At 50.9% G+C, this 24,188-nt stretch overlaps 2 long non-coding RNA genes across 7 annotated transcripts in view, besides 3 other annotated features; both read right to left on the minus strand.

Moving 5' to 3' along the window:
* The window catches only part of LOC105373242 (uncharacterized), a 53,390-nt gene extending 51,478 nt beyond the window's left edge, over positions 1 to 1,912 (minus strand). For 3 of the 6 annotated variants that reach the window (XR_001755876.1, XR_007068260.1, XR_005647088.2), the window contains exons 1-3: positions 1,820 to 1,912; positions 1,504 to 1,683; positions 98 to 1,250 (exon numbers count right to left, since the gene is read on the minus strand). This is a non-coding gene — a long non-coding RNA (uncharacterized LOC105373242). The other 3 variants (XR_005647091.2, XR_005647090.2, XR_005647089.2) reach the window with 3 other exon arrangements.
* Positions 12,086 to 12,586: an enhancer, noted in NCBI's record as "H3K4me1 hESC enhancer chrX:68314526-68315026 (GRCh37/hg19 assembly coordinates)". NCBI's record gives its function as "activates a minimal SCP1, AML or CMV promoter by ChIP-STARR-seq in naive H9 embryonic stem cells {active_cell/tissue: H9 hESC(naive)}" and the evidence as "EXISTENCE:reporter gene assay evidence [ECO:0000049][PMID:30033119]".
* LOC124905196 (uncharacterized) lies at positions 13,288 to 13,872 on the minus strand. Its single transcript, XR_007068261.1, has 2 exons — positions 13,731 to 13,872; positions 13,288 to 13,604 (listed from the first exon to the last, which is right to left on the minus strand). It is a non-coding gene; the product is annotated as an uncharacterized LOC124905196 (long non-coding RNA).
* Positions 22,155 to 22,748: an enhancer, noted in NCBI's record as "H3K4me1 hESC enhancer chrX:68324595-68325188 (GRCh37/hg19 assembly coordinates)". NCBI's record gives its function as "activates a minimal SCP1, AML or CMV promoter by ChIP-STARR-seq in naive H9 embryonic stem cells {active_cell/tissue: H9 hESC(naive)}" and the evidence as "EXISTENCE:reporter gene assay evidence [ECO:0000049][PMID:30033119]".
* Positions 22,749 to 23,341: an enhancer, noted in NCBI's record as "H3K4me1 hESC enhancer chrX:68325189-68325781 (GRCh37/hg19 assembly coordinates)". NCBI's record gives its function as "activates a minimal SCP1, AML or CMV promoter by ChIP-STARR-seq in primed H9 embryonic stem cells {active_cell/tissue: H9 hESC(primed)}" and the evidence as "EXISTENCE:reporter gene assay evidence [ECO:0000049][PMID:30033119]".

Consider the following 24,188-nt stretch of genomic DNA (forward strand, 5'->3'; position numbering starts at 1 on the left):
CCTCAGCCTCACCCCTATCCTGCCAGGTCCTGCTCCTCAGACCCGGACCCTCCAAGTCAGGGCCTGGGATCCTCCCCACCCTTGCCCTTGTGTCTACCTGTAGTGAGAGGTGGCTCCGGCATAGGCTTCTCTGTCCAAGGGTGCTGGACAGAGTCACCATTTCATCCCTGTGTCCTCTCAAGGACCCTCCCACAGAGAAATGTGGGAAACGCCAGCCCCAAAACGCAACTCAGCACCCAGAAGCAGAGGCAGGGCCTGTGCCCCGGGGCTTTCTGGGAAGGAAGGGCTGGCTGTCTTGGCCCTGGCCTTGGCCCTAGTTCCCTTCCACTGCCCAGATGTGCTCCACCCAGACAACAGGAGCCCAGTCAGCCTGGCCTGGGGGCCCCCTTCACAAAGCCCGGCCCCTCTCCCCCCAGGGCTCAGCCCAACAAAGGAGGATTCTCAGGCAAGGCGACTCAGGGCGGGAGGAAGGAGGGTTGTGGGTGGAAAATCGCTTCAGAACCCAAGGTTGGCCATCTCCATGAAAGCCCTATTATTGCTTGAGTAGTGAAACGTCTTGCTCAGCATGGCCAATTCAGCTTCCCTCACTTCCCTGTCTCCCCCTAGGAATAGCTCCACATTCCAACACTGCACAGCCAGCCTTTTCCAACCATGGGGAGGCGGGACAGGAGAAGGTATAGGCAGGGAGGGGTTGGGGAGGAAGAAGGGCTGCCCATGAGAACTTACCTTTCTCAAGCCTTTGCTTGCTTAGAGGGCAGAGATCGCCCCACAGAAGTTAGTTCATCATTAGGTGTGACCTTCCCGTTTCTCTTACATCACAGCCTACTTCCTGGGGGGCCTTGTTCCAGGGAGGCCTGGTGGACTTTCCTTGCTGGCTGGGAAGGTGTCCTCCTACCCACTGGCCACTAAGCAGTATGGCATCTCTCCCCACCAGGGCCAGAGACCGGCATGGCCAGGCCTCTCTATTCTGTGTCCTGACCCCTCCTCCACCTCAATCACTAAGAAGGCCAGAGGGTCAGGAGAAGGAATGGACTCTCTCCTGGGGGCCAGCCCTCCCACCCTTCCACAGGCACAGAGCAGGGAGCTGACCGGCTGGGTGAGCAGGGAGTTTGACTGGAGGTAGAATTTTCTCTGGTTGAAGTGAAGAGGAAGTTGTGTGAGCTGAGAACACATTCCCTGTCTAGTCTGTCCTTTCAGCTCTCCTGGTATTTTTTTTCTTCTTCTTCTTCTTCTTTTCATTTGTCTCTGAGCTGGAAAGAACATGTGCTTGGCAGATTTTTATTTATTAACTCTATAGCTTGCTCTCTCGTGCTATCTCTCTCTCTCTCTCTCTCTCATTCTCTTTCTCTCTCTGTCTCTGTCTCTCTTTTTTTCGCTTGCTTGACAGAATTTAGATTAGACAAAACATGAGCTCATTTCTGCCTGAGAAAAAAAAGCAAACCACTCCCCCTCCCCCTCCCCCACCTTCTCCTCTTCTTCCCAGCCTCACCCACCTCCACTCACCAGGCAGGGGTGGGGAGGGCCGGCAGGGCTCACCCAGATATCATCTCTAAGTTAGGTCTTGGGGTGCCATTGCCCTCACGTTGTGCCAGCTCCCAGCTCTGGAGGACAGACTGTCTCACAGTCTTGCAGTCATAGGCCTGCCACCCAGAGTTGGCCGAGGGTAGGAGGCAGAGGGGTGGCCTGGAAGAGACATACCTGGAGTTCTGAGGGTAGGTTGGCAAAGTGGACCCTGCCAAGGTTGGCCAGGCTCCTGGCAGCATCGCACAAGCACCCAGGCCCCAGACCCTAATGCCACTTGGGCCCATCTCTCACTCACCTTCCTTTATTTTCACTCTCATAGATATTCCTGGACAGTTGTTACCACTTCCCATCATCATCAGGCCACCTAACCAGAGTCCTGTTTCTTCAGCCTGTCCCCTCTGAGCACTTGCTGGGGGGCCCCCTCCCTGAACTGCTGACTAAATTACTAAAGGCCCTTGTTTCGTCATGGATCATCAGGCATACGGGCATATGGGATGGTGGCTTGGGAGGCCCATCTGAGTTGAAATCCCAGCTTTATCATTTACTTGCTGGGTGTTGGTCTAATCATTTCCCCTCACTAAACCTCTGTTTCTTGTCTGAGAAACAGGGATAATAAGATCTGCATTATAAAATTGTCATGAGATTTAAATAACATTGGAATCCATTTTGGCCAGGCACAGTAGCTGATACCTGTAATCCCAGCATTTGGGGAGACCAACTAGGAAGGATCGCTTGAGCCCTGGAGTTTGAGATCAGTCAGGAAAACAAAGCGAGACCCTGTCTCTACCAAAAAATTAAAACTTTAGCCAGGCTTGGTGGCATGTGTCTGTAGTCGCAGCTTCTCTGGAGGCTAAGGCAGGAGGATCACTTGAGCCAGGAGTTGGAGACTGCAGCGAGCTATGATAGCAGCACTGCACTCCAGGCTGGGCAATAGAGTGAGACCCTGTCTCTAAAACACACAAACGAACAAAAAACCTTACCATTTTGACCTTTTTAAATGAGTGAAAACAAAGAGTCCTCAATAAATTACAAATAACTGTGCAGTAACTGAAGGAATGACCCCCTCCTCTTTCTTCTCCTCCTCCTCCTTCTTCTCTCTACTCATCTCTGAAGAAAATTGGGGTGGAAGGGCAGCAGGAAGGATTGTACTTAGACATGAGAAAGAACTTCCCAGGAATGTAGAAGTTGGAAAGAAATGCACACTGGAATCTGTAGACGTGCCTTTCAGCATACAGCAAAGGAGAGCTGCCCAACCCTGGAGGCAGGAGGATGCTGAGTCCTGCCCTGGAGGGTCTGGAGCAGTGGAATGACCATAGACTGTGGTGGGACAGAGCCCTGGGTTTGGATCTTATTTTCATCATTCCTTGTGTGACTGTGGGCAGGTCACTCCCCAGTCTGATCTTCTGTTCCTCATCTACCTCATCTACAGTGGAAGAAGAGCTTCCCTCCTCTCGAAGCCATTGGGAAGTATCTTTATGAGTTTCTGCGGGCTGCCCAGATGAGTCTTCCTTGTCACTCCAAAGCAGCAGGGAGGAAGGCCAGAGGGGGTTTCTGGGGCTGCCCTAACTGCTGAAGCTGCTGGGCCCTCGGGAACCCTCGCAGTTGTCCTGTCAGGCAATGGTTCAGCGCAGTTAGGGCTCCCAGCCCAGGCTCCAGGACTGGTGGGCCCCTCAGAGTCAGTGGGCTCCCCCACACTTTACTGCCACCCCCTCCTCAAAGCCCGCCAGCCCACCCTCTAGCTGTCCCTTAGCCAAGCAGGGCAGCACTGCTCTTCTAATCTCATTTTATAAATTAATCCCTCTCTTCCCTTAATCATTTTCATTGCCTGCCTCTGAACCCACTCCAATCCATCTACTGCTCCTGCACCTTCTCCCACATATCATCTCCTTCATGTCCCTCTGGCTGCAGCGAGAGGCCCCCCACATGGCCTGCCAGTGTCACTGCATTCCTGTCCCCAGGTGAGAGGGTCAGCTCCCAGTGCCAGATGGGCCTGGCCCCTTTGCCTTTGGCCCCTTAGAGACAGCTAAGTGAAGCAGAGATCCAACACACCTGGACCGAAACCCTAAAGCTGCAGCTTATTTGCTCAGTACCCGTGGGGAAGTGCCTTCACCTCTCTGGGCCTCATCCTCTCCATCTATAAAATGGAGCAACTGGCAGGGACCCAGGTGAGAAAAGTGCTTTGCAAAGGGCTGGGCACGTTTTAGTCACTCTGTTCACTTTGGGGGAGGACAGGGCTGCAGAGTCAGTTCTCCCCTCGGCCTTCTCTGCTTCTCTTCTCATTCACACACTGCCCCCCAGCCCTGAAGATCCCTGGCACGCTGGGCATAGGGCCCCACAGCCCACCGTGGCCACAGACAGGAGCCTTATTCCCCAAGCTACTGTCAGCTTCCATTGGGAATGATGGGCTTTCCCCCACCACAGGAAGGAAGGAGGCTTGACCTGAAGCAGCAGCTTGCAACAGCAAGAGAGGGGATCTGGGTGGGATGTGCTGGGGGGCCTTGTGGCCCAAAGCTAAAAGGGATGGTCAAGATGCTGAAAGTTACCCTCGCTTCATCTCCTGTGAATCATCTCCTAGACGTTCTCTGGAGAAGGGAACTCCTCTGTTTGGCTGCCTAAGCCTTGGGAGGATAGGGCAGGGTTGAGGGAACTCAGCTTTGTGGAGCACCTACTCTGAATTTTCCCAATAGCCCTGTGAGCCTGGCTGAGGGGATCATATCCCATAACTTGTCCACTTGAGTGCCTATGCCATGTGGGGTGCTTACGGATTCAGCAGCAACAAACGCAGTAGACACAGTTCCCACCATGCTGAGCTTACCATGCAGAGAATGGTAGAGCAGCTTCCAAACCCTGGTCTGTCCGATGCCAACACCTGTGCTAATGACCAGTACACTAAGATGCCCCGTGTTTCAGACAAAGAAAAGAAAAAAAAACCTTTCTAGTTGTATGACAAAAGAGGCGGCTGACAGTGATCAAGAGGCTTCTCAGGGCCAGTCTGAGCACTCTAGGAGTTGATGATCTACAGGAGTGACATGGCAAGGATAGGAATGGGGCAGTAGGGACACAAGGAAGCAAGTCCTGTCTGCAGGAGTGGGGCAAGGCTTGGCGAGCCAGAACTTTTAAGATGGCTCCTAAAGGATACATAAAAGTTAGCCAAGCTGACAAGGGAGAAAATGACATCATAGATGGACACAACTCTAGTAAGTGCCAGAGCTAGTGCCAGCAGACCCATGACAGTGGGACCCCCACCCCTCTTTCCCTGTCAGCTGCACGCAGGCCCCCGCCTGGACGAGGGGACAGTTTAGAGGAACTTGGGCTCCTATCTCTGCTTTGCTCTTTCTTGGATGTCTGGCCTTCAACAATCACTTCTCTCCGAGCCTCAATTCTGCAATCTAAATGCTGGGCACCCAGTCAGTGTGAGATAATAGACAGCTATTTTAACCGGTATCTTCTTATTATTGTTATCTTCATCAATATCTTCACTAAATCTCATCTCAAAATGACCGCACTGCAGGGTGTCTGCCCTTGCCCCACCTCGGTCTGCCTGCCTTTTCCCTCACCCCACGTTTTCTCACCTACCTTTAATTCACCCTGAGCCCCACCTCTGCCTCTTCTATAACAGACTGGCTTGGCTCTGGCTGAAATCTGAAAGGTCAGGCCCTAGCAGGCTCCTAGCAGACTTTAGAGCACTTAGCATCCTTTCCGCCAGTCCCCCACCATTTTCAGGGAAAAAAAGGTGGAACAGGAAGATTTTTCTCTCCCTGTTCCAATTGGGATGGGTTCTGCTGCACAGATTGCATGATCTGGGCTGAGGTCTGTCTTCTTCATCTGCTTTGTCCACCCCAGGAGGAAAGGAAGGGAGAGTTATTTTGAGTGAGAGGCTGGATGCAAGAATATTCTCCTCTCACCCCCACCCACCACAGCCCACTCAAGACCTCCGCCACTGACAGCCAAAGGCAGCCCCTTCTGAGTAGCACAGGGTCAACCCTCCCTGAACTCGCTGCATTGCTGAGGCCTGGCCTCCCTCAGGCCTCCCCCAGGCCAGGGAGGCTAGGGGGAGGCAGTGAGGGAGGTTGTTGCAGCGGGGAGCTGGGGCCAGAAGTCCAGCCTGGTTCTGATTTCCCTGGCTAGGGCTGGGAACCAGAGTCTGGTCTGTCTTCAGTCCCTACCCGCCCCCCACCCACCTCATGCAACGCTCCTCTGCTTTCGGGAGCGGCCCATAACCGCAAACACATTTGCTAATGCAGCTAGCTGGCCTGCCCTGGGACAGCTGGCTGGGCCCTGTGCCTGGGGCCAGGCCAGGCAAAGGGCAGGGGGCCTGGCTGGGAAAGGGGCCTGAGGCTCCTCCTCCTCTGCTAAGCCGCCTGCATAGCCGTGGCCACCGCCTCTCTGACTCCACAGCCCCTCTCTACTATGACTCCTTCTAGTGCTAAGAAGGATGTCAGAGAAACTGAGGCCACTAGAGAAGGATTGCATGATGGTTGCATACTGTCCAGCCCAAGAATGGGGCAGCCAGACAGCCAGACGTGCTCTTTGGCCAAGAAAACACTTTGCCTGCCTGAGCTAAGGGGGTTTCTTGGCCTGAGCCCTCCCACATAGCATCTCCTAAGAGGAGCCACCTATAGGAATGGAAAATACAGGGCTCGGGGAGGGCTGCGGGCTTATACATTGCTCAGAAGGGCAAGAGCAGAGGAAGGCTGGGACTTCCCATCTCTGCCACTGTGAGACTTGGGTAATCACTTCCCTTCTCTGAGCCTCAGTTTCTCCATCCTGTCCTGATTACCTCACAGACTTGAGATATGGGAATGAATAGGCAAGTGTCTTATAAACTGCAAAGCTCTGTACCCATGAAAATAAATTATTCTACCAGACCATAAACTCTAGGAGGGCTGGAATCGTGTCTGAGCTAACCTCTATGTCCCCTGTGATCCAGCCCCGGGTGCCACTGTAGGGGATGGCTAGAGAGATGAGCCTGGGGACTGCGAGACACAAGTCAGTGCTAGCTTTTGTCAACCCTCAGTTCACGCAGCCTCTGGGAACCAAGACTGAGTCCTGGGGTCCCTGGGTTCCGGAGCTTGAGCTGTGACTGGAGCCCACCCCTACCCAGACAGCCATCCCAAGGCCCCAGACTCACTCAGCTGCTCACATCCACCCTCCCCCCACTCCTCCCATCACACACAAGGCATGCAGCTCAGCTTCCCCCTGCCAAGACAACCCCACCCTGGCCCCATAGCCCCTCTCCAAAGACAGGGGCCTTTTTCTGCCACGTTCCTGGAGGCTTTTCCACTTAACAGGGCCTTGAAATCCATTTGCTGCAGACTGTGAACTTCTTTTCCATGCTCCTGCCCACTGGCCCTCTTCTAGGCTGACCACCCCCCCACTCCCACCCCCACACTGGCGTCCGCCAGCCCATGGCCTAGCAGCTGTCACACTGATCTTCCCCTACCCAGGCCTCTGGGGCAAAGCAGGGGGCACCTGGAGGAGGTATTTGGGGCCCAGGAAGCAGCAGCAGCCTGGACTAAGACAGGGGGCTGAAAGCTCACTTTCTAGGACTGTTCTGAGCTCCAGCCTAGCCTCAAAGGGGTGCTTTCCCTTCTTCCAGGCTGCTAGAGAAGGAAGCCACCTCGTTTAAGACTCTAAAGCCACAGACAGGCTGGGCACTGTGGCTCGGGCCTGTAATCTCAAAACTTCGAGAGGCCTAGGAGAGAGGATCGCGTGAGGCCAGGAATTCTAGACCAGCCTGGGCAACACAGCGAGATCACATCTTTACTAAAGCTGAAAAAAAAAAAAATAGCTGGGCATGGTGGTGCATGCCTGTAGTCTCAGCTACCCAGAAGCCTGAGGCAAGAGATCACTTGAGCCCAGGAGGTTAACGCTACAGTGAGCCACGATTGCGCCACTGCACTCCAGCCTGGGTGACAGGGCAAGACCCTATCTTAAAAATAACATAACATAAAATAATAAAATAAAATAAAATGCTACCAAGGCATTTCTCCCTAGATAACACCTCCATCCCTCATGGTGTTTGCCCTTGTGTCCTCATGGCCTTCCCTCATGGCCCTCCCTCATGGCCCTCATGGCCCAAGGTCCATGGCTATGCTGCTGATACAGGTACATGACAGTGGCCAGATAACCCTCCAGGCATAGCTGGGAAGGTAGGTGTTCTGGGCTGTAGTCCTACCTTAGCTACAATCCATGACCTTGAGTCAGTCTGGTCTTGATTCCTTTGGAGGCTCCTCCCCACCCAGCCCTGACATCCTCTTGTTTCCTGAATTCAACTCTGTCCTCTACTTCTCCTGAGAGGTGAATCCCAGGTCTTTGTGCCCTTCTTTCTGGACTCCAAAATTCTTCCATGTTCTGCCACAAACTTCATTCTCTGCTTCACGAGGCCCTCTGAAGCTGTAGAAATGGAAGGCAGCTGACATCCACTGAGCACCTACTAAGGCCAGGCATTTTCATGCCTTCTACCTCATTTTCGTATTAATATCTTCACAGTGCCTGCTAAGGAAACTGAGGCTCGAAATGGAGAAATGACCCACAGGCCTAAGGCCAGGAAATGGTGGCACCACAACTTGAGCCTGGGTAGTTGGACCCTCTCATCTGTGTTCTTTCCTTGTCCCCTTCACATGCCCATGCCTGCACACCAATGTCCTCTTGTCACAGAAAGAGGTCCAGTTCATCCGTACTTGCTTTGCAGCAGCTAGTCATAGAGCTTCAGATCCTGCTCAGTCTTCAAATGGTGAAACTTTGTGCTGACCTGTGTGCAGCTTGTGATCTACTCTGGCCTGAGGCTCCATCTCAGCTCTATTTCCCTAAAATTGTATTATTCTAAAGCTAAAGGCAGAGTGAAGAAGAAAAGTGTACACCAAGGACAGAGCACTTGGAAGAGCGAGGGAATGCCTTGTGTGTCTCAAGTTATCCAACCAACTGAGCACTGATTGTGTGTCAACCACTGGTAGCCAGTTTCACACACCTTCTCTTGTTTGAATACTCACAACAACCCTTTGGGCAAGCAACAATCTTGGCCTTTTTATAGATGAGAGACTGAGGCACAGACAGAAGAAGTAACTTGCCTAAGACCACACAATGAGAAAGTAGCACGGTATTTTTCCCATACCCACTCCTACACCTCAGCCTGGCCTATTCCCAAGGGAAGAAAGGTGATTTCTGCAAGAAGAGGTTCCCCCTGTCCCAAAGACCTCGGGCCCAGAAAAAGCGCCATGAGCACAGAGAACCTATATGGCAGAGGTCAGGACTACAGTCCTCAGTCAGATTTTGCCTTATCCCTGCTGCCTGGAGCTCACCCTTGCACTGGCTCTGGGGGATTGCCTGTCTCTCTCCCCATCTGTCTTTCTCATCCTTCCCCACTCTGGTTCTCAGCAGTGAATTTGTGTGAAACCTGGACTGAATTACCACCCATTACCCAACCTGCCTCATTCCAAATCCCTGGCATTAATGCAATCAATGGAGGGGAAGCAGGCTCCCTTCAGCCGCCTGTCTGGCCCGCCCTGCACTGGCTTCTTGGTGCTGCTAAAGCCCTGCGCCCCAACCCCTTCTCCTCCTTGCACGTGTACAGGCCCCACACACCATTCACACATGTTCCTTGTAGAAACTGAGCAGGTCCTCTACCCACGGAAAAGGCTCTTCTGAAAACTCAACTGAATGAAGATATATACGTGCATATTTATTATTTCAATGAACGTTTATGGGGCACCAACTCTGTGCCAAGCACTGTTTCAAGGCACTGGAGATACAGCAGTGAACAGCCCAAAGTCCTTGTTTTCATGAACTTTAGCATTTAGCCTGGGGAAGGGGTGAACAATAAACAAGTAACCATAAGTTAACAAGTTAATCCCAGATTGTGACAGGAGCTATGAAGAAAATAAACCAGGCTTATGTAATTATGATGTTAGAGGGGGCTATTTTAGATTGAGTGATCACGGAAGGCCTCAGTGAGGAGGTAATGCTTGGGTCGAGACCCAGTTGACAAGAAAAAGTCAGCTATGTGGGAATCTGGGGGAAGGGTTTGAGGAAGAAACAGCAGAAAGCATAAAGGCACTGAGGTGGAAATGAACGTGATGGGGAAAAGGGGTAAAAGCTGAAGTTGGAGAGACAGAAAGGGACCATATCACATAAAGCCTTATAAGTCAGGATAAAGACTCTGAGTTTTACTCTATGTGTGATGAGAAGCCATTAAAGGGCTTTAAACATGTTAAAGAGTGTGATTGAATTTGTGTTTTAAGATCACTCTGGCTGCTACAAGGGGTATGGATTATTGAGGGGCAAGAGTAGAAGCAGGGAAATGTATTGCACCAGTCCAGGTGAGAGATGATGGTGGCCTGGCCTAGGCTGGTGGCCAGAGAGAAGTGGATATCAAATGGGTAATTAGCTACAACAGACTTCAGTAGAGGTGTCAGGCTCTTCCTGATTACCTCCAATGGATGATTCCTCCATATATCCACTCGAATTGTCTAGTTAGGCATCTCAAATATACTCTGGCTACAAAAGAATACTTGATTCCCCATCACCACCACCACCAAACCAGGCGGTTAGATATACAAGCATGGAGTTTAGGGCAAAGATCAAGATGGAAGATACAAATCTGGGGGAGTCATTGGCATATAGATGGTATTTAAAGCCATGGGGCTTGACGAGATCATTTATAGAGAAAATATAGGTAGAGGAGATGAGAACATCTAACACTAAGATCCAACATTTAGAGGAAGAGCCTGCAAAAAAACAGAGAAGGAACAATCAGAGAAATAGTAGGAAAGCCTGAAACTAGGAAAGCCTGGCTCCAGGAGGGAGTGGTCAACTATAGCCAATGTTTCTGAGAGGTCCAGAAAGGCAAGGCAGATCGTTGGGGTTGGCAATGTTGGGTCATTGGTGATCTTTGACAAGAGCAATTTCAGTGAGGATGGAAGTCCTCTAGGGTAGCTAGAGGTGAGAATGGGCTGTGAGGAAGCAGACACATTGAGTGTAGAAATCTGGTGTGAGAGGTCCCACTGTGAAGGAAAGCAGAGTGATGAGGCAGAAGCTGGAGGAGTGCATGGGTGAGGAAAAAGTAGCAGGGCAGTGGATTCGAGGCCTAAGTGAGGACGGAGCCTTGGTAGGTAAGGGTACTAGAGGGAATAAGAATAATAGAGTGTAGGATCAAAAAGTGAGATGATTGAAATCAAGATTCTTAAACTGATGTCATTAATCATGATGGCAAGGTCAAGGGTATGGCCAAGAGAATCAGTGACTCAGATGGGATGAAGGGCCAGATCCTTGGAGGTGTGAGGTACTCCAGGAAGAGAAAAGCCAGAGTGGTAGGTCTATGTTAATGAAGAAGTTGCAGGATGTGGGGGTAGAGAGGAGACAGTCAGCCACCTACTAACATCTTCAGTGAATGGAGGGCAGCGACAAATACAGTCAAAAGATGGCAGCCTTCAGGAGGGGTGGGAGATGAGGCAGTCTTTGGAAGAGCCATTGTTTTAGAAGGAGGAAGGAAAACAAGTGGTCTAGAAGCAGCCATGGGAAACAAGGAGGACATCTACCCCATCTCCCTGCCCAGAGGTATGTGGGGTGTGAGAGAAAAATATAGCCCCCAAAATATAACAGGAGAGTTGTGACCTTGGTGTATAGAAATAAAGGAAACGGTTATAAGAGGTTGAGCATATGGGGAAGGGGCAACAGTTGCTGCCAGTAGACCATGGGTCCCAGAAGGCAGAGTGGAAGGGTTTGAGGAGCTTGGAAGGAATGTAAGATGAGGCCCAAAGTAGGGACTGTACACGGCAATGGAGGGATTGGAGTTTGGGGGGTGATGGAAGACCAGGAGGCCTGGCTTCTGTGGTGAGCAAGGCAAAGAGGGATATGAGTCCTAATGAGATATAGCAGGATTCCGTCAAGAAAATGGGCTCATCAGGTCAAGCCAGCAGACACGGGGAAGCTGAAAGACTGCCTGCCTGCTACTGGCTGGTGGTGCTGAGGCGGAGGGTGAGCTAAGACCTGTAACGAGGGGAAGCTCTGTAGGTCTCCCATATAACCTGCAGGGGGCAGTGTCTCTGTTGAGAGAGAAGACAATTTCAAACAAGCAAAGCATGGAAACAAACTTCCAAGCAGCCACTCATGACTGCATACCCTCAGATACACACTTGTATGCACACAGAGACCCTAGCCCAACCCCCCACGAAGCATGAACTTGTGGACAAAATCATATGTACATAAGCAGGCATGTACACTTTTGCATGTACCAACGTACACACACCATGCATACAGGCCCAACACACCATGCACAGCCATATTACCCCATACCATCACATACACACATGCAAGCACACACCCACGCACACGCACATGCATGCAGAGGCAACCGAGAGTGGGTTTTCTTAAGTCTTGCCAAGCCACAGACATCAGAAAATCAAGCTGAAGTTGAACAATCCAACCCAGAAAAGGGGGAGGAGATGAAGGGCGTGAGAATGAGGTGTGTGTTGCGGTAGTCCGGAAGCGGGGAGCAAGGGAGCCAAGTGCTGAGTTAAAAAAAAAAAAAAACTAGACCGTTTGGAAAAGGGAAAGCCTTCAGACAGAGCAGGAATGCAGGCTGTAATTAGAATCGCTTCAACCGTCTCTAGATTGGGAGAGGATAGGCAAACTGGTTACACATGCGGCATGGTGAGCCCCAGCCCAGATAATACTGGCAAAGCATGTGCACATGGGAGCATGCAAGCGCTGTGGAAAATGCACTTAACCGAACCACATTGGGCCCTGGGGAAGCCAATGTGAGGTAGCCCCCTTCACTTGCCCCTGCAGCCACTTTCCTTCAGGCTGGACCTCTCACCAGACTCAGGGCCACCACCACAAACATGTGTATGTCCCCAACAGGGTAGGACTTGCCAAAGGCCACAGAGTGGGCCTAGGGAGTGATGTGGTGATGTAGGCACTGGACTGGAAGACAGTATCTCCGAGTTTGAGTCCCAGGTAAGCCACTGACAGGCTGCCTGACTGGGGCCACATTCCTCCCCTGCTTTGGGCCTCTGTAGCCTGAAGGGAGATCTTGGGGTCCTTCCAATCTGGCCCTGAGTATTCATCCAGGACTATTGGTTCTGAGCAGCTGGAAGGAGGCAAATGAAAGAGATTTGTGGGGTGCCTGCAAGATGAGGAGCTGGGCTGGGAGGGATGTGAGTGTCTCTGGCTCCCCTGGCCCTGGGCAGAGGTTGCACTGAGGGAGAAACTTCACACGCTGGTGTGCTGTGGGCCCCAGGGACTGAAGCAGGCCTAGGAAAGAGGGCCAGGCGGCCACAAACAGAATCCTTCCTATTCCCTCTGGCCCTCCCCTTCCCTTCTTCTCACCTTTCTCCACCAGGCTTTCTGGGAGGCCTCAGGGCCAGCTGCTATCATCACTAAAAATAGCCTAGGCAGCTTTGGGTGTGAAGGAGCCCATCTTACTTGCAGGGTCCCAGAGGCCTGGCAGGTGGCAGTTGGTATCTATGGCCCCTCCAAGCCTGAGAGATCAGATTATCCTTTTCAAGGAGAAATCTTGCAAGCCCCAGTTCCAGCCAAAAGCTTAGGTTGCCCATGCACTGCCCTCTTTGTTCTTTGTTTCCCAATATCCCAGCGACTCCAACTTAGAGCCTCACACAGTGGGTAGCCTGGATCCTGGTGCTCAGAGAACTATAATAATAACAATGATAATAATAATAGTTAACACTTATTGAACACTACTGTGTGTCAGGCACTTTGCCAAATGCTTTGCATGTATTCACTCATGACTCTTCACAACAACTCTTTGAGGTAGGTCCTATATCCCCATTTTATAGGTGAACAAACTGAGGCACAGACAGATTAAGTACATTACCCATGGTTACACAGCTAGTAAGCGGTAGAATGAGGATGCTTTTTCTTCTCTTAATTCCTTCAGGGAGAGGAAGATTCTGATAATGATAATAGTAATAGTTAATATTTATTCATCTTCACGGGCACTGGGCAGCTGAAAGATCCTCAAAGCTAAAGGGATGAAGGGTTAAATCCTTGGTTTGCTCCTCAGTAGCTGTGTGACTCTGAGCAAATGCCTTCACCTTTCATAGCTTCTTGAGTTTCCTCATCTGTAAAATAGAAATAATCACAATAGCTGGCTCTCAGAGTGGCGAGAGGATTGTAGGAGATGATGTGTGAGGAAGTACTTAGCACAGAGGAGCTCACATCACCCTCTTTCCCCTTCTGAAAGATACCTGGGGCTTTTTTGTCTCATTCTCTCCAGTGGCCGGGTGGAGACCACCTGAAGTCCTGAGCCCAAGCTGTTCTTTCCACGTGGCACTAAAGGCACAGTACCCAGGGCCTCCGGGCTTTTCAGGGGCCTATGAAAACATGTGAGCCCCAAGAAAATTTATTGGCTCTAAAATATGAAAAGAAAACAGCAGAATTGGAATTAATAAATGTTCTATTATACGTCTACAAAATGTAATATAATACCAACCTCATTAATTGTTAAATTTAGTATTCCTAAAAATTTCATTACATTTGAAAACAATTTGTTGGTTAGATTTCCTCACTTTGCAAGAATTCCCAAGTATGCACAGTGATTACAAAGAAATCAGAGCCAATTGGGAATGAAACGAGTTACTCATAGGCAAATAATTTCGAAAGCGGAATTATAAAATCCTTTGAAATATTTTATGGCAAAAATTACATTTAATATGGGATGTGGGAGCATTTTCATATATATGACACGCTGTGGGGTGAAGCCTCTAAAAGTGAGAGTGCCTAGGGCCTGCCCCAAGACAGAGGGAACAAGAGTCCCTTTGTGAGGCACACTGGGATGGGGGGAAGCGTCCATGCGCCATGGTGGGCGCCCACCGCTCTGGTTGTTCCCCTCATCTCCTAAAAAAACAAACAAACAAAAAAACCAAAAAACAAACAAACAAACAAAACACCAACCAAAAAAACCACCCTGGCCACATGCGTATAAGCGCTGGCAGAATGGCCCTTTCGGAGCAGCCCTTTCATGTACTGCCCTCGGCTCTTATCAAAGGCCCTTTCAAGAAACAGGCATGCCTGTGTGCCTTTCATAATCGGGAAGAGAAATAAACATTATCTGATGAAAATCGAGAAGAAAACAGCCATGTGTTAACGGTGTCTGTTGGGTTGTCAAGCCATTGCCCAGGACATTGACCACTGGGCTGCTCAGTGCCCCTCAGGCAAGGGCCCACATGAGGTGTTTCTCTCCCAATTTAGCACCAGCATAAACTTGGGGTCCCTTGAGTACCTGTCAGTTTCTTCCTCTCTGATAACGAAAGCGGCAGAATGCTCTGCTTCTGGCTGGCTCACAATGGGAGGCCGCCTCTGCGCAGGCAGGGAGTGAGAAGCACACAGGCCACCACTTACTTCTACGTGACCTGGGCCAGGTCCTTTCCCGCTGAGCCTCATGTGCAACATGGGGTTAAGTCACAGGGTTAGCGTGAGGATGCACTGAGATAATGAATGTCAAGTGGAAAGAACGGGCCTCCGTACTGTTAAGAACGCCAGGTTGGGAGCGGATTTGCTCTCAACTGCTGGGACTTGATGACTCAGGCCTCCCACCCCAAGATGCCTACCTGCTCTGCAGGATCTCTGACATCCCAGCTCTGTGACCAACACATGCCAGCAACTTGATGAGGTCAAGCCTCTCCCTTGTCAAATCTGCATGCCCACGGATCACCGATGAGCCTGGGAAGATTCCACCATGGCTTCCAGCTCTCTGGGAGCTAAGATGACTCATTCTCACCTAGGCTTGAAGTCCCCTCTCTCGCTAGTTAACCTTTTCCTGGTTTCTGTCCTCTCCTCCTTACCTCTTCAATGCGAAAACACAGTGAGGATACAGTTCCGCTAAGAGCTCTTTGTCCTACTTACTGCTGTGGCCAATGCAGGGACGAAGGAGCCCGAGCAAGAGGCTGGTGGCATAATGCCAGCTCATCAATGGCAGACAGCATTGGGGCTAATCCACCATCTGCAGCTGGGCCACCCACTTTCCAGGCCAAACACCTTGCTACCAGCTCAGAAAATGCTCCACCCACTCTTTTGAATGCCATCTCTCCACTGCCCCATCCTCTCTCCCTCAACCCATCCCCCACCTCCTCCTGTCCCCCACATGACACTAGCCTTCCCTCCTCTGTGCTTTTACCACACTTTGTATGTGCCTCCATTGTGGTCCTTAGCAGCTCTTAGCTCCTTGGAACAGCACTTCTGGGCTCTCGCCTCTGCATCCCTCAGACCACCTCAAGAACAGAGCTTGTGTAGTTTCATCTCTGCATCTTTGGTGCCCTGCACAGGGCTTGCCATGAGGTGTATCCACCAAAGGAATGGAGTTCAGCATAGGTGAAGGAAACAGGGAGAGAAGTAAGAGTGACTCTGTCCTCTTGGGTGAGTTCTTCCAACTCTGGGCCTGGACTCAGAAGATCTGGGCTCAAGTCCTTGACCATTTTTAGTTGTGTGGCCTTAGACAAATCACTTCCCTTTCCTTTGAGCCTCACTTTTAAGACCAGACAAATGAGGATCCCAGTCTCTCCCCTGCCTCCTGCATGGGCTGTTGTGGAGATCAAATAAGCAAATGATTGAGGAAGTATGTTAGACGTTGTGAACTGCTGAAGTTCCATGTATTTTCCCATCCTGGGAATCTGCACACACAAACACCTGCCCACTAAACCACTCCATTGCAAGGGAAACCCAATTTGTGTGCTTATCACATGATGACTCGCATTTGTACTGTGTGATCCAGTTTACAAACAACATCTAGAGGGCTTTCTGTGCCCTTTCATTCTCTTAATACCTGCTTTTCTCCCACGTGTCAGGCAACCTGAGCCCCATTTGGCAGTTGATGATCACTAATAATAAAGGCAGCTAGCGCTTATTGAGGACTTACTATAGTTCTGAGTGTTCTATATTTATTAACTTACTTAACAGGTACCATTATTTTCCCCATTTTTAGAGATGGAAAAACCGAAGGTCAAAGAAGTTAAGTTACTTGCCCAGGATCACAGAACTAGTACACAGCAAAGGTATGGCTTGGTCCTAGGTATTCTAGCTCTAGAATCCGTGAGTTTAACCACTGCGCTGTACTACCCAGACAAGAAATTGAGGCTCAGAGAGGGGAAGTGACTTGCCCAAGGTCACGCATACAATGGGTTAGTGGCATTGCCTGTATCTTCTGACTCAGATCTTTAGCACTTTCTACAACCTGGACTTTTCTGTTGAATAGGTAATTATCTGTAAATGAAATTTCACTGTGCTCTATGGATGGAAGGGAGGTGGAATCCTTGTATGAGGGAAGCAGATCAGAGATATTCCTTATGTTTACAATTCAACAAACATTTATTCTTGCTCTCAAGGAGACCCTAATTCTAATATTCAACTGCAGGCACCAGAGGTTTATCCAGTAACTAACAATGGCCCTGGAAACAAAGGAAGGAGTCCTTAACTTTCCCACTTGGGCTGGATCTGGGAGGGTGGAAGACCTGGGGATGTGGGAGTAAACAGAGGGGCATCTCCAGCAGAGGAACTGCCGGAGGAAAAGCGTGGCTGTAGGAAAAGGCCTGATGTGTTCTGGAAATAGTGCCGGGTCCCAGGCCACTACAAGACTTTGTGGAAGAGAAGTGGACTTGAATACCAAGCCAAGGAATTGGGACTTCATTTCTGCAAGTGACAAGGAATCCACTTACTTTCTGGTTGCCAAGAGAAGCTACACCCAAGGAGTAATTCAAGGGAATAGACTCAGACAGTCATGATATGTCCCACCTTCCCAGCTAGAAAGGACACTGAGACCTTCCAGAGGTGCCAATGACTTAGACAAGGTCAACCAGTGAGATTGTAAGAATTAGGCCTTTTTTTTTTTTTTTTTGAGACAGAGTCTCGCTCTGTCACCCAGGTTGGAGTGCAGTGGCGCAATCTCGGCTCACTGCAAAGTCCGCCTCCCGGGTTCAAGTGATTCTCCTGCCTCAGTCTCCTGAGTAGCTGGGACTACAGGTGCTTGCCACCATGCCTGGCTAATTTTTGTATTTTTAGTAGAGACGAGGTTTCACCATATTGGCCAGGCCTCGAACTCCTGACCTCGTGATCCGCCCACCTTGGCCTCCTAAAGTGTTGGGATTACAGGCGTGAGCCACTGGGCCCAGCAGGAATCAGGCCTTAAGTTGGGTCTTGACAGACCTTGGAGATTTGTACAAGCAGAGACAAGGGAGGAAGGACCACAAGAGTGGGGAGTCCAGAAAAAGGGAGAAAAGGAACCTGACTTGGAGCAGCCCCACATCCCATCCCTATACCCACCCAGGCTGTCAGGTGTGGCTTTGGGTAGGGGGCTCCCTAAAGGGGCAGTCAAGTCCCTGGAGTCTTGCTCATTGCCCAGAATCCTGGGCCAAGGCCCACGTCTGGGTGTTGGGGAGGGACCCCAGAGCCATGCCATTGGTCTCCTTCTCTGCAGGAAGCCCTCAGGAAAGAGCTTGTCAGGGGAATAGAAGGGCTGGCTGGGCCTGGCTGGCCAGGCAAGTGTCCTGGTTTGAGAAAAGCCAGGCCTAACTCAGAGCAGGCAGCTATCCCCAGCTTGTGGGGGAGCCAATTAGAGCCAGGGTTAGGTGGGGTCCTGGCGGCCTCTGCCCTGGGTCCTCCACTCCCAGCTGGCAATCATTAGGTTTGCTCAGAGGATCCCTGTCAGGAGAGATTGACTCTGGGACGGATCAAGGTGAAGGAGAGGCTGGCAGAGAGGACCCCAGTGCCTAGACTGCACACTGAGGCCCCCCCCTCCACGGCTGCCGGCTACCTTGGGCATGTAAAAAAGACATTTAAAATACCTAGTCGGCCCCTTATCAAGCCATGTGTGCCCCCATCCTCCCCACCCCTCACTTGATAAGCACGTGTCCCACTGTCATGGGGAAATATGGGCGCTATAAACTCAAGGGCCTGCCTCTCAGAGCAATGGGCCCATTAGTCAAACAAAAGCTGCTAGGGGAGTGCTCCTCTCTGGGACTGGGAACATGGGTTCTAGGAAGCCCCAGGATACATAGCCCCGGGGAAAGCATACACAGGGGCTGAAGCCATGCCCCTTCTTCCTCCAACCTTCAGACCCAATGGCCTGTTCTCCAAAGTCCCAATGTCCTCATCTGTAAAATGGGCACAATTCCTTCCTCACAGGGCTGTTGTGAAGCTGAAACAAGAGACTGGATACAAAGCTCCCACCACAGTCCCAAGCACAAAGTAAGTAGTAAGTGCTAGGCCAGCCCACCCACTTTTTGTCCCTACAAAAGGGGTCAGGATAAAACTGGTGAAAATCCACCACTCCATAAAGCACCTACATGTTAGAAGTTGGGGGGGCCAATATCCTCTGAACCCTGCCTCCTCTGTTTACTGATGCAGCAGTAGAGGCCAAGAGAGGTTAAGTGACTTATCCGAGACCACACAGCTTATCAGTGGTAGGTCTGGGACTGGAATCCGGGTTGCCTGTATCATAGCACACTAGAGTGCTGCTCATCTCACAGCCCTGATTTGGCCCCTGCAGCAATATCGGGTGTTTTTCCATACCCCTCTTTTGAATAGGATGTGATGAGGACACCTCTAGGTAATGTCCTGGCAGGGCTGAGCCTGCAGATAGGGGGTCCTCTGCCTTTACTCTGTGCTACAGCAGTGTGGCCCCATGCAGGCAGAGAGAGAAAGAGGGTGAGAGAGAGATGCTGACTTCAGCGGGCTACCATATCACATTGCAAGCTCATATCTCATTTGCTGTTCACCAGTCCCCGGCCCCCCTTTCCTTGCTCTTTCCCGGGCAGAGCTGCATGGTTTGCATTATTCCCCTTCCCGCCCGCCTCCCTTCCCGGATATCTTGGTTCCATATTTTCCACGCTGAGGCTCAGTTTACTCCTGGCTGGGCTCTGGGCCTGCACCTGGGTTCTAAAAGGTCTGGGGGGTGTGTGAGTGTGTGTGTGTGTGTGTGTGTGCATGTGTGTGTGTGAACATGTGTGTGTGAGAGTGTGTGTGTGTGTGTGTGTGTTGAGTGGGGGAATGCTGCTGTTGTCCAGCCCTTCTCTCTGTCCTGGGTGAAGGCCACCAGAACATCCTCCCTACCCTCTGCCTTTCACTTTCTGCCTCTAAGATGGCAACATCCCTCAAAGTAATGACCACAGACCCCTGCTTCTGAATCACTAGAAATGAGGACTTCCCAGCCCCACCCAGACCTATGGAATCCACATCTCTGGGGCCAGGGCTCAGAAATCTACATTATGACCAGTGTTTCATTCATAAGGATTTTGCTTGATTTTTTGCCTTTAAATCTTCATTGGCAAGGGGTTCATTTTGATACCTGATGTTGATCGCTCCTGTCCCAAGTTCACTTAACAAATATTCACTGACCACTCAACATTTTCTGGGTTTCGCTACTAACTCTCTGGCTACTCTCTCTGTTTCCTTTGCCAGCTCCTCTTCCTCTCCTATTCCTTGAATGCTGGAAGGCCCCGGGGCTCAGTCCTTCCCTTTCTTTTTCCTGTGCTACCCAGCCTCCGTGCGTGAGCTCATCTTCTGTCAGCTTCAGTTCCTATCTGTGTGCTGAGAATCTCCACCCCAGGCCTCCCACCCAGCCCTCTCCCCTGAGCTGATTCAGCCCCACCCCAGCTTGAATGACCTCCAGGCCCCTCAAATTCAACAGGACCCATACTGAGCTCATCTTCTTCACACACTCAGTGAACTTTCTGAAGCACACATCTGATGACCTCACTCAGAAACCTTCTGGGACTCTCCTTGGCCCACAAGATCAAGTCCATACTCCATAGCCAAAAGAGAGCCTGGCCGCTATTTACCTCTCCAGCCTACCCTCTCCCCACTCTCCTCTCCTTGGCCTTCATCCCTGACTGTCCCACTCCAGATCGGATCAGCTGAATGACTCACAGTTCTATAAATGCACCAGACGCCCCTCACCCCTGGCCCTGCATGTGTTACTTCCACTTCCTGGAACACAGGGGCATAGTGAGAGCAGGCCAAAGGGGACATCTGTCTTTGAGCACCAGTCTGTGGGGGTGCTTCTGAGATTCTAGTTGTGGTGTCCTTAGCCAGCATGAGGGGACAAAGGGGGCAGACATTTCCTTAGCACCATTGACCGTAGCCATGCCATTGTTGGCACACCCTTCTCCCCCAGGTTCACCAGGCCAAATTCCATTTCCTCTAGGAAGCTTCTCCTTACTCTTCCAGTCTGAACTGTCAGTATGCTAATGATCAGAGATAAATCTCTAGGAATAGTGCCTGGTACATAATAGGCACTCAATAAATATTTGTTAATGATTGAGCAAATGTGTTCCTCTCACTTTCCTCTGTCAACATATTCTATTATGATCCACAATTTCAAGACTATCTCCCACCTCCACCCTTACCCCATCCCACCTCCACCCCCACTCCAGACTATGTGCTCACCAAGAGCAGGGCAGCATCTTCTCTATATATCTATCCCCAGCGTACAGCAAACAAGAGTATGTGCTCACCAAAGGTTCGACGAATTAGCTTATTGAGACCCCTCTCTGCCTGGCACTGAACTATGTCCTAGGGAAGCAAGCAATGATTAAAAGACAGAGTATCGTGTTCCCTGCTGCTGAGACACTGGAAACTCCAGCTGGTGTACTAAGGGTAGAACGGGCAAGTTGTTTGCTTTTTGGAGGCAGAGTGAGGAGGAGGAGAGAGTGGGAAGCTTTCCCAGAGGAGGTAAGTTTTGACCAGTGCCTTGTTGGATGTGGAGGGCTCTTCTAGTCTTTGTCTTTGATTATAAAAATTAAGGCTTTTTGGCCAATTAAAGCTAAGTGCTGCTCATTCAATATCTTAGTTAATCCAGATACCAATCCCAAAAATAGGGATTCTCATCATCCCTGGTTTACCAATGACCAAGAGGAGGTACCCCTGGTCATTCATGTGGTGAGTAGCAAAGTTGGAACTTGGTCCCAGATTTCCCTGATCCCAGAGTTCACATGCTGACTACCACATCCTCTGCATCCAGTTCCATACATATTGCAGAACATTTCAAACACACTATGTTCTAAAAAGAATCCCCAACCTGCCCCATTAGGTAGTTAGGCACATATGCTTGCAGGCCTTTCCTCTTGCTGTTGCCCTAGAAATGAGAGGCAGCAAAGCGTGATGGTTCAGAGCACGGACTCCGAGGCAAGGCCACCTGGTGTGTACTCCAGCTCTGCCACTTACAAGCTGTGTGTCATGGAGCAGGAGGCTGTACCTCTTTGGGCCTCTGTTTCTTCATCTGTAAAATGGTGATGATGATAATGGTACCTCATTCATAGAAGAATGAATGCCATGTCCATTGTTTAATGCTTATCTATTGTTATGAAGATTAAATAAGGTATAAACCACTTAGAATAGTACCTGGTGAATCTAAAGACAAAAAATATAGTACCTGGAACATAGTAAGTGATTATTAGGTACATTTTCTATAAAAAAGGGAACTCTACTAAACATGCAGCTTGCTATCCCTACTTCTTCCTGTGGAGCAGGATTCTGTCAGGTGGAGAAAAGCATTCTAAGCCAGTGGGGAGACGAGTACAAGAGCATGGAGGTGGGGAAATACGTGATGTGTGTTAGGAAGATCAGAGAGGGTGGAGATGTAGACGAGGGCTGGATCCCGAGGGCCTCAAAGGCTCCCTTTACATGACAGGACTGGGAAGAAAGCCCAGGACTCCTCAAGACCCTGAGAGCACTGCCCTCACATCGTATCTCAGCCCTCATCTCAGCTTCTTTGGCAAACCTCTAGCAGGGTTGCTGAAACAGGGACTGGCCTTCCCCAGGCACCAGCGTTTCCACTGTCCAGACAGCTGTTTTTCTCTGTCTGCCCAGGTCCGGGCTCCAGGACTGGTTCCTACTCAGGCATTCAAAGCATTCTCTTCTCCTCAGAAGAGAGAGGCAGGGGGAGGGGGCCGGCAGGGGCAGGGCCCCCTCCACATCTGGAGGCGCCACATTGGGGTGAGCTCACCTCTGAAAGCCAGGATGGGGAAGGCAAGGTGAAGGGGCCGGGACAGCCTGCCAGGGTGGGCTCCCCTTCTCAGCCAAGGTCTAATGGGAGCTGACAACAGCAGCTGTGGGCCTTTGATCTGCCCTTCAGGTATGTGTCCCAGCTCAGGATGGCGAAGCTAGAATGAGGAATGTTGATGAGGGCGGAGATAAGAAAAGATCAGTCCAACCAGGCAGAAAGGGCCTGGGCCACCAGGCCAGGGCTCAGAAGAAGAAGGAGAGAAAAGCTTGTGCTAGAGAAAGGCCTGCACAGCCCCATCCCGTGGCTGTCTGGCCCCTTCCTTCCCCTCAAAAGCGAGAGAGGCTCCTCTGGACTCAGCCAGGCCCTGCTTGCGTGGGTGGGGTTCAACCTGCCATGTGGTCTTCATTTCAGGTCTTCACACACACACACACACACACACACACACACACACACACGTACACACACACGTTCCACCCTGCCTGCACCTGGGGAGACATAAGGTGGGCTGAGCTTGGGACTTAAATCAGCCTCAGCAGGTGAATTGGGGTGGGGGCCTCCTGGAGCTGCCAGCACTGAGATCAAGGGTCCAGCCCAGGCCCAGTGGGTATTTTTCCAGTTGGCTTTGTCCCAGGAGACACCTGCTTGGCATGGTCTAGAAAGATCCTCAAGCCTTTTGACTGCAGATTCTCAGGCCACCAGGACTCCCTCAACAGTGCTCTCCCAAGTGGTCAACCAGCATTTTCTCGAAGAGTTCCAGGGACAGGTTGCTCATCACCTCTCCAGGCAGGCCAACTTGTGGACTTACTTTGTCAAACCTGGCACCTCTGGTCACACCTACAGCCCCACCATGGGCTGACTCTGTCTACCTTGCCTTCTGCCTCTTTAAATGAAATCCTCAGACACTGACCCAGAGAAAAGCATATAAGCCCATGGAAAATCGGGCAGCAGAGGGAGAGGAGCCAGCTGCTTACGTGAGATTCTAGGCTCTGATCACTTCTGTTGCAAGCAGACCCTGGTGGGATCCGAACCCAGTCCTCAGGGAGGAAGGCCAACCATAGGGCAATGAGGAAATGGAAGCCCAGAGAAGGGAGGAAGTTGCCCATGGCACATAGCTCTTTTACAGCCCAGTGGACCATCGTCATTCTGGGTCCATTTCCCAGGCTGGCAGGAACCCTGAACGCCATCCCATTCCACTCCCACCTAATGCCCTGCCAGAGGACTTCTTGCCTACCCCTAGCTTTGGGGTGGGGAGGGGGGGACTTAGTACCTTTCCCTTCTTGGACCACTCTAGTTGTCAGAAAGTGGTTCCCTATTAAAAGTCTGGAGTCACCTCCCTGGAACCCCCCTCCTTGTGCCTGTTCTGCTTTCTATACTCTCATAGATGGGGAGGGTACTTGGCCAGGGGGACGGGGATGGAAAGAGCAGTACATTTGAGAGCCAGCCTCCCTGGCTCATCTTTGGATGGTCCCTTCCCCTCCAGGTTACACCTGATGATTTTTATTCAGCTCTAAGATTTTTTTTGTCAGTGTTCTGCCCTATGACAGCCTTTCAGACTTCTGAGGATGAAGACCACACCTCCCACACTTTCCCACAGTTTTCTCTTTTCCAGGATCAACAACTCCAGATTATTCAACTTATCCTTCTAGGGCATGAGTCCCTGTCTCCTCCCAGCCAGCAAACACCCCTCAGTGAGAGGGGAAGCGGGGGTAAT

The sequence above is a fragment of the Homo sapiens genome, chromosome X (genome assembly GCF_000001405.40).
Source record: "Homo sapiens chromosome X, GRCh38.p14 Primary Assembly".
Classification (NCBI taxonomy): domain Eukaryota; kingdom Metazoa; phylum Chordata; class Mammalia; order Primates; family Hominidae; genus Homo; species Homo sapiens.